Here is a 10526-nt window from a genome sequence, read left to right as displayed (position 1 = left end):
TTTAGTTTTGATTTACATAGAGTTATATATACAAATATATTACTCTAAAGATATATCAGCCAGGCACTGTGGCTCATGCCTGTAATCTCAGCACTTTGTGAGGCTGAGTGGGGCAGATAATTTGAGGTCAGGAGTTCAAGACCAGCCTGGCCAACATGGTGAAACCCCATCTCTACTAAAAATACAAAAAATTAGCTGGGTGTGGTGGTACATGCCTGTATTCCCAGCAACTAGGGAGGCTGGGGCAGGAGAATCGCTTGGTCCTGGGAGGCAGAGGTTGCAGTGAGCCAAGGTGGCAGACCTGCACTCCAGCCAGGATGACAGAGCGAGACACCATTAAAAAAATAAATAAATATATATACATATATATATACACACATATAAGAAAGTTATGTAGCAAGTGAGTGTGTTTGTGTGTGAGTTTGTATGCATTTTCAGAACAGAAGAACAATATTGAAACAAAAAAGATTATTTTAATAAGGTGGATAATTAAAGAGAAACCTGGAAACCTCAGAGATTCTCAAAAAAATCTATATTCTGTGACTTGTATTGAATTCATTACCGTAAAATTTTATCCCACCCAAATCTTATCTCAAATTGTAATCCCCATGTTTCAAGGGAGGGACTTGGTGGGAGGTGATTGGAATATGGGGGTAATTTTCCCCCATGCTGTTCTCATTATAGTGAGTTCTCAAAGGATCTGGTGGTTGCATAAGTGGTGTTTTTTTCTGCTCTGCCTCTCTCTTGCTGCCTAGTAAAGAAGGTACTTGCTTCTCCTTTGCCTTCCACCGTAACTGTAGGTTTCCTGAGACCTCCCCAGCAATGCAGAATTGTGAGTAAATTAAACTTCCTTTCTGTATAAATTACCCATTCTCTGGTAGTAACTTAATAGTAGTGTGAAAACAAACTAATACAGAAAATTAATACAGGTAGTTTGGGGCACTGCTATAAAGACAGTTGAAAATGTGGAAGTGACTTTGGAACTGGGTAATAGGCAGAGGTTGAAACAGTTTAGAGAACTCAGAAAAAAATAGAAAAATATGGGAAAGTTTGGAACTTCCTAGAGGCTTGTTGAATGCTTTTGACCCAAATGCTAATAGTGATGTAGATGATAAAGTCCAGGCTGAGGTTGTCTCAGATGGAGATGAGAAACTTAATTTTTAAATGGCAGCAGAACATAAAAGTTTGGAAAGTTTGCACCTGACCATGAGGTAGAATATAAAACCCCATTTTTTTGGAAAGAAAATCAAGCCACTGCAGAAATTTACAAAAGTAAAGAGAAGCTGAATGTTAATAGCCAAGACAATGGGGAAAATGTCTTCAGGTCATGTCAAAGATCTGAGACAGTTTCTTCTATCACAGGCCAGGAACTCTAGGAGGAAAAAATGGTTTCATGGTCGAGGCCCAGGGAGGGCCCCACTGCTTTATGAAGCCTTGGGGCTGGGTGCCCTGCATCCCAGCTGCTCCAGATCCAGCTGTGGCTAAAAGGGGCCAAAGTACAGCTTGGGTTGTTCCTTCAGAAAGTGCAATCCTCAAGCCTTGGTGGCTTCCATGTGGTATTGGCCATGCATGTGCACAGAAGACAAGAGTTGAGCTCTAGAAACCTCTGCCTAGATTTCAGAGGATGTATAAAAATGCCTGGGTGTTCAGGCAGAAGTCTACAGGGGCAGAGCCCTCAAGGATAACCTGTGCTAGGGCAATGCAGAAGGGAAATGTGGGGTTGGAGCCCTCATGCAGAGTCCCCACTGAAGCTGCCTACTGGAGTTGTGAGAAGGCCACTGTACTCCAGACCCCTAAATAACAGATTCACCATGAGCTTGCACCGTGCACCTAGAAAAGCCACAGGCACACAATTCCAGTCCATAAAGGAGCTTCCCAAGGCCATGAGGGCCCACCCATTGCATCAGCATGGCCCACATGTGAGACATGGAGTCAAATGAGAACATCTCAGAGCTTTAAGACTTAATGACTGCCCCATTGGAATTCAAACTTGCATGAGGCCTGTAGCTCTTTGGTTTTGGCCAATTTCTCCCATTTGTAATGGGAGAATTTATCTAATGCCTGTACCTCCATTGTATCTTGGAAGTTACTAACTTGCTTTTGATTTACAGGCTCACAGGTAGCAGGGATTTGCCTTGTCTCAGATGAGACTTTGGACTTAGACTTTTGGGTTAATGCTAACTTGAGTTAAGACTTGGGGGACTGTTGGGAAAGCATGTTTGGTTTTGAAATATAAAAAGGGCATGAGATTTGGAAGGGGCCAGAGGCAGAATGATACTCATGCTGTTCTTGTGATAGTGAGTGAGTTCTCATGAGTTTGGATGGTTTTATAAGTGGTAATTTTTCCTGCTCTCCATCTCCTAGTGAAAAGGATACCTGCTTCTCCTTCACCTTCTCCCATTATTGTAAGGTTCTTGAGGCCTCCCCAGCCATGCTGAGCCGTGAGTCAAATAAACCTCTTTCCTTTATAATTTACCTAGTCTTTGGTGTGTTCTTCAGCAGTGTGAGAATGGACTAATAGACAAAGTAACTTAATAACAAAGGTGTCACTATTATTTTCAATTTACAAAAAAAAAAAAAAGAAAAGAGCCAGAGAGAGAAATAACTTGCTCACAATAGCAGAGCCAGTATTAAAACAGTATCAACTTTAACTCCAGAGATAATACTCTTGAATAAAACAATAAAAACACTTCAAACAGAAAAGAAGTTACCTTTAACATCCATTCTTAAAAATTTAACAAAAATGAAAATGGATACATTTGTATTGCTATATATTTGTATATATGTGAATGTATATTACAAATAAGAAATACTTCATATAAGCCAGAAAAAGATAATTATTTTAATGAATACAATTGAAAAGCAGTTCAATTAATTATTATTTGGAGATGATATCTTTGTTTACTTAGAAAGACAGCAAAAGCAACTGAAAGGTGATTTTAGAAATCTATTCAGGTGGGTAGGGAAAATTCTCAGATGACCCTCAGGTTCCCACTTCAGTGCACACCTGCTGTGTAACCCTTTTCTCTTGAGCATCACAAAATGTGTGTGACTGTGGCAAAACAGTATTCATGTATTTATATTACTAATGTATTGGCTTCCTTTTTATCATACGAGAGATTATCTTGATTAGGCTAAACTTAATCAGAGGTGCTTTAAGAGAAAGAGCACATCATAGAAAAACATCCCTGCTTCCCTGAAATTAATCAAACTTCTTGGTAAGCAATGTCGTAAAGTGTTTATGGTGGCCACATGGCAAGGTATATGTTTGTATATTGTCTCCGTTTCTGCCTTCAACATATTGCTTTCAGTAAGGAGAATAGGAGGATCTCATTGCAGAGGAAAAAGAAGGGATCTCATTTATGCAAGAAATAATCACCCCTCATCTGGGACAGCTTAAGAAAAACAGAGACCAGAACATGACCTCATCAATGGGAAATAAAGACAACTTGGTTGAAAGGGCTCCCTGGCGTTATGAAGCAATGTCTACACAGCTGAAGTAAATGATCAGCCTCTGGGATACCAATAGTCTACCAACAAGGCCGTATTCATTTTCATTCTGATTGCATTGGCACTTCTGCACCATTCTGGTAACTCAGATTTACATAATTCATGACAAAGATACCTGCAGGGTGCGGTGGCTCATGCCTGTTATCCTAGAACTTTGGGAGGGCGAGGTGGGTGGATCACCTGAGATTGTGAGTTCAAGACCAGCCTGATCAACATGGAGAAACCCCGTCTCTACTAAAAATATAAAATTAGCCGGGCATGGTGGTGCATGCCTGTAATCCCAGCTACTCAAGAGGCTGAGGCAGGAGACTGGCTTGAACCCTGGAGGCGAAGGTTTCAGTGAGCCAAGATCATGCCATTGCACTCCAGCCTGGGCAACAGGAGCAAAACTCCATCCCCTCCTGCCAAAAAAAGGAAAAAAATACCATGCAGACCAGTGAGTACTATCCTAGAATTGAACTTATCATGAAAAAGCCTTGCCAATTCTTTAATTTCAACATTGGAAAATGTTGAAAAAAATAATGAATTTATTAATAATAATCTGACTTTCTAATTTTAGACTATTCTACTATTCTATACTACAATATTGAACTTTGATCATCGTAACATGAACATTTCGTGAATGCATAAGTTGTTATGTAGATAGGTTCTCTTTTAGATTAACACAATAAGACAATTAGAGCAAACAATTAGAAAAAACATTTGAAATCAAATAAAAGTCATCAGATCCACATCTTTCAATGGCTTGGCATAATTGCCATGCTCTTTGAAAGAAGCAAAGGCAAGATTTTGGCTTAGCCCAATTATTAAGTCCTTGACCTTTTGAAATCTAATATCCTGGCTAAAAAAAGCAGTAGGGAATATTTTTTGGGTGGCTGTCTAAAGTGTCCAAGGCAATATGAGAAGAATTTTAATAGTTAAGTAAGAAAATGCATACCACATACACACATCACTCTTCTCTACTTTGCTCTAACATTGAAAGATTAGAAATTGCAAATCTAGTCCCTCAATTTCGGGTAAATTAGCAAAAGATTCATGTTTCAGCTGAGCAAATTGTTGTATGAAACTTATAGGTAACAGATGTCATTATCTGCAAAACACAAAATAGTATGATTAGATCCAGTAACTATCTAGTCATGCAAATGATAGACCAATTAGATTAAGATCCTAAGAGGTGCAGGTAGAAAGCATTTATGTGCAATGTTGTGACCCTTCCCCAAACACATTTTTCTGACTCCTTACAGAGATACCAACTTTTCTGAATGACTCAGAGTGAATACTGGAAACTGAGAATGCTCAGTGTTCAGAGTTGATTACTGGGAACATAGTTAACACATTTCTTCTATATTATGAAGAAATTTTATGAATCTTAAGACAAAGCCTTTTTTTTTTTTCTTTTTGAGACGGAGTTTCACTCTTGTTGCCCATGCTGGAGTGCAATGGCGTGATCTCGGCTCAACTCAACCTCTGCCTCTCGGGTTCAAGTCAGTCTTCTGCCTCAGCCTTCCGAGTAGCTGGGATTACAGGCATGTGCCACCATGCCTGGCTAATTTTCTATTTTTAGTAGAGACGGGATTTCTCCACGTTGGTCAGGCTGGTCTCGAACTCCCGACCTCAGTTGATCCGCCCGCCTCGGCCTCCCAAAGTGCTGGGATTGCAGGCATGAGCCACTGCACCCAACCCAGAAAGGTTTTTAATAAAAGACTGTTCGTGTATAACACTCTATTTGGATTCATAGAAATTTTCAATATGCCATTTAAGTCAAAGGCACTGAAATGTCAACCAAATTTCACAAAATGTATTTGAATGAGATCAAGTCTTCCTTAGCTGAGAATTGTATTTCATCAGTAAATTTAGAAGAAAATAATAAATGTGTTTACTTTAGACCGTATAACAGTGTTTGCCACATGGGAACAATTCAGACAAGTGCTCTTCATCATTACTCTTAAAGTAGCAATAGCACCACATCCATTTCCTGGTACCAGCCAGCCTGTTTTTCACTGATATGAAGTGCAGAAGGCATTGAAACAGTGAAGAAGGGTGATATAAATGGAATACTTATATGAAGTACAATTGTTAATAAAAGGTAGCATTTGATATTATACGACTATAGTAAGATGATTAGTATGAGATAAAAATATTTTTACTTTAATTGACAGAATATCTTAATCCACATTATTTCTATTTCGAATAATTTTTTTTGCTCTATGTTTGCTGCCTTTTTATTTGCTATTACCTGAGCTTAATAAGAATCAACAAAATGAATCTTTATTTTACCACAAGAATTGTATTCGTGCATATGCTTAATTTGTTGAAAACATGTTAGCTTTCCATGAAAGATTTATGCTTTTATTGTGTCATTTTTTGCCAAGAAGTGGCTGTCCTGCCAGAAAACTGCTATTCTGAGCTCTGCTCACTTTGACTCTGCTCGGCATAGTGACTGGAAGTGATGTGTGGATAAAAAGCAAATGTGTCTTCTTTTCATCTTTTTTGATCTATTGGCTTTAGAAAGAGGAGAATGTGGATAGAAAATTTAGAAAAAAATCTAATCTCCAAATAATCATGAAGAAGTTTTTTTTAACCAGAAGTAAACCAAAGGGGAAGGTGGTTTGTGCAGAAAATGTATTATTTTGCTAAGCCTTTGAAATTGTAGGGTTTATTAGTATGACAACCTGCATTGCTTTAACAAACATATTAGTCTTTTAGTTTTAATTCTTCTGGATATGATTCAATTTCCTGATGAATCTGAACTGAGAGGAGAATAACTTATTTGTTAAAATTAAAGACGCAGGAAAAAATATGTTGACTAAAATAAGATAGTCAAAAAGAGACAGACAAAACAGAAAGTAAAATGATGTTCTTCAGACGCGGAAAAGAGAGAAGGAGAAGACAGTTTATTGAACATTAGATTGTACTTTTTAAAGATAAAATTATCTAGAGATCTGTTTCATATAATGTAAATATACTTAAAAGTACTAAACATATAGCTTAAGTATATAACTTTAAAATGTTTAAGACGGTAATTTTATGTTTTTAATCACAAATATTTACAACTCTCAAAAAATAGTTGCATTTTTCAAAAATTACTTCAAATACCAAGTGTTTTTCTCACACAATAACATAGATTCAAACAATAAATAGACAGTAATTTTAGACTGCCTTTCTGACTATTCATCCAGACAATAGAACACTGACAACCACCTGAGAAAAGAAATAAACAAGATAACTAATAAAGAAAATGGATCAATATTTATACACGCAAATATCACATAAGTAACTTTTATAGGCAATAGAAATGTCTGACTTACGGGGCTGGGCGTGGTGGCTCACGCCTGTAATCCTAGCACTTTGGGAGATTGAGCCAGGTGGATGATGAGGTCAGGAGTTCAAGACCAGCCTGGCCAGCATGGTGAAATGCCATCTCTACTAAAAATACAAAAAATTAGCCAGGCATGGTGGTGGGCACCTGTAGTCCCAGCTACTCAGGAGGCTGAGGCAGGAGAATTGCTTGAACCTGGAGGCAGAGGTGGCAGTGAGCCTGGATCCTGCCACTGCACTCCAGCCTGGGTGACAGAGCGAGACTCCATATCCAAACAAACAAACAAAAATAAGAAATATCTGACTTATACTTTTTTTTAAAATTTGCTCCAAGTGAAACCCAGGGATTTATATTTGAGTTAAACACCACATTTTTTTTTTCTTAAGACGGAGAAGATTCACTCTTGTTGCCCAGGCTGGAGTGCAATGGCATGATCTTGGCTCACTGCAACCTCCACCTCCCAGGTTCAAGCAATTCTCCTGCCTCAGCCTCCCGAGGAGCTGGGATTACAGGCATGCACCACCACGCCCAGCTAATTTTGTATTTTTAGTAGAGACGGGGTTTCTGCATGTTGGTCAGGCTGGTCTCAAACTCCCAACCTCAGGTGATCTGCCTGCCTCAGCCTCCCAAAGTGCTGGGGTTACAGGCGTGAGCCACCGTGCCCTGCCCTGTTAAACACCGCATTTTTATAAATAATACCGAATGAAAATTACCTTCCACATCATAAATGTAACGTTAAAAACAAAAATACAATTTAATAATCAAAAGAAACCTGTACGAAAAAAATGCAGTATAATGGACTTAAAAACAAAAATAAAACATGTTGACCTATAAAATATGGAATATTAGCATAGATGTATCAGAAAATAATTCTTTAAATAATTACAGTTTTCAAATATGACTATGAACTTATGAAAATCTGGCATTTTTAATTATTGGCATGCAATGTATAGTAGTAAATTTCCACAAAAAAATACATTAGAAGAATTAGAAAAAGTCTAATGAAAATGGAACCTTTTAAAGTATTTAAAAGATACTAGGTAAAGTTATTTATGTTATTAATATATTATTGTTATTACACAAAATATAAGATCTACAATACAACCATATGAACACAAGAAAATAATATTCCAAAGCAAAAACAATTTAATTTTTTAGAATACTGTGAGATTATATATAAAATAAATATTGGAATTAAATTATATCATTGTTTAGGTATAAGTGGAGAAAAATGAATAAAATACTAATGACACCTGTAATGGTGGTGCATGAATTACTTTTAACTTAGGGATAAAAGCTACAAGACAAAAGTATCCAAAATACATATAGCTTAAATAATTTATTATGAGATACACAATATAAAAAATGTAAAGTGCGATATAAATCGTGTATTGAAGAGAGTAAACCTGTTGAGTCTTTCTATGCATCGAAATAGCATTGTTATTATCGTAAGCTAGAGTGTTATATCTATGAGATGTGTTATGTAAATCTCTTGGTAACTAAATGAAAATTTGTACTATACACACAAAAGAAAAAAGGAATCAAGCGGCCGGGCGCAGTGGCTTATTCCTGTAATCCCAGCACTTTGGGAGGCGGAGACGGACAGATCACCTGAGGCCGGGAGTTCGAGACCAGCCTGACCAACATGGAGAAAATCCGTCTCTACTAAAATACAAAATTAGTCAGATGTGGTGGCAATTGCCTGTAATCCCAGCTATTCGGGAGGCTGAGGAAGGAGAATTGCTTGAACTTGGGAGATGGAGGTTGAGTTGGTGCCATTGCACTCTAGCCTGGAAAATGAGAGTGAAACTCTATCTCAAAAAAAAAAAAAAAGAAAAAAAAGAAAACAAAAGAAAGAAAAGAAATGGGAATCAAAGCATATAATAACAAAAGCAAAAAAAAAAAAAAACCTAGAAAACACAAGAAAAGAGAGCATGAAAAGAAAACCAAAGACATTATTTTGTTGGTGCAAAAGTAATTGCAGTTTTTGCCATTAAAAGTCATGGCAAATCAATAATTTTTAAAATATCAAATAATTTAATTATCTAATAAAAACGCATCGCTATGGTTTGAATGCCCCCTTCAAAATTCATGCTGAAATTTAACTGTCATCGTTATAAAATTATAAATTAGACCTTTAAGAAGATATCAGGTTTTGAGGGATCTACTCTCATGAATGAATTAATGTCATTGTTTCCAGAGTGGGTTAGCTGGCAGGAAATTGGGTCTATTATAAAAGTAAGCTCTCTTATGTTCACCTTCTGTCGTCCTCATGCCTTTGGCCATTTTGTGATGTGGAAATCTGATTCTCATCAGATGTCAATGGCGTGCTCTTGGACTTCCATAATCTAAAATTGTGAGCTATGTAAACTTCTATTCTTTATAAAATACCAACTCTAAGGCCGAGCACGGTGGATCACACTTGTAATCCCAGCACTTTGGGAGGCTGAGGCGGCTGGATCACCTGAGATCAGGAGTTCGAGACCAGCCTGGCCAACATGGTGAAACCCCTTCTCTACTAAAAATACAAAATTTAGCTGGGTGTCATGGCAGGTGCCTATAATCCCAGCTACTCAAGAGGCTGAGGTGGGAGAATAGCTTGAACCCGGGAGGGGGAGGTTTCAGTGAACTGAGATGGTGCCACTGCACTCCCACCTGGGCAACAAGAGCAAAACTCTATCTCAAGAAAAAAACAATTTACCTCTACATGATGAGCCACATCTCTACTCAGTGTGTGAAAAATACATTCTTTTTTTTTCTGCCACCCCAGACTTCTGGGAAAGGAGCCTGGAGCTGTGCCCAAGCATCCCAGCCTTTGCCCTCAATTGCAAACAGAGTGGAGTGTCTCTTAGCTCAGGAGTTTGTGCTACTCAAGAGTTTGCACAAACACAAAGCTGAGAAATACTGCTTGCTGAAAGGGGTGTAAAAGGCAAAGGACAAACCAGTTGTCCTCTGAAGGGGAGACACTTCTATTCTGTGTTGGCTACGATCTTGGAGAATGCAGGCAGGGAACGAGTTTTGCCCATTTTCCAATGAGAGACCCCTTGTGGTAAGAGAGGCTCTTCTCTCTCTACCTGCTGAGTTACTTCATCTCTTTGGTACCAAATTTCCTCATGTTTAAAATTAGGGAGTGAAACCACACATCCCCTAAGATTCTTTCCTCTTAGCCGTTCTATGAGTTAATTAATGAGATTTGTTTTCCCATTAGCATACATCCAAAAAGGTACTCAAGGTAGATTTTCCATGTTTCCTCGAATCATGTAACTGCCCAAGATGGAGTGGTAGTGTTTGGAGGAGAAGCCCTTCCTTGCTTCCTTTATTTCCATTTTAGAGACAAAATCTCTCCCTGTCACTCATGCTGGGGAGCAGTGGTGCAATCCTGTCTCATTGCAACCTCAAACTTCTGGCCTCAAGCAGTCCTCCCATCCCAGCCTCTAGAGTAGCTGGGACAACAGGCATATACCACCATGTCCAGCTAATTTTAAAAATTATTTTGGGCTGGGGGCGGTGGCTCATGCCTGTAATCCCAGTACTTTGGGAGGCCGAGGCAGGCAGATCACCTGAGATCAGGAGTTCGAAACCAGCCTGGCTAACATGGTGAAACCCAGCTCTACTAAAAATACAAAAAATTAGCCAGGTGTGGTGGTGCACGCCTATAATCCCAGCTGCTTTGCAGGCTGAGGCAGGAGAATCACTT

This window comes from Homo sapiens, chromosome 7 (assembly GCF_000001405.40).
Source record: "Homo sapiens chromosome 7, GRCh38.p14 Primary Assembly".
In the NCBI taxonomy this organism is placed as follows: Eukaryota; Metazoa; Chordata; class Mammalia; order Primates; family Hominidae; genus Homo; species Homo sapiens.
Note: the sequence above shows the minus strand (reverse complement) of the source record.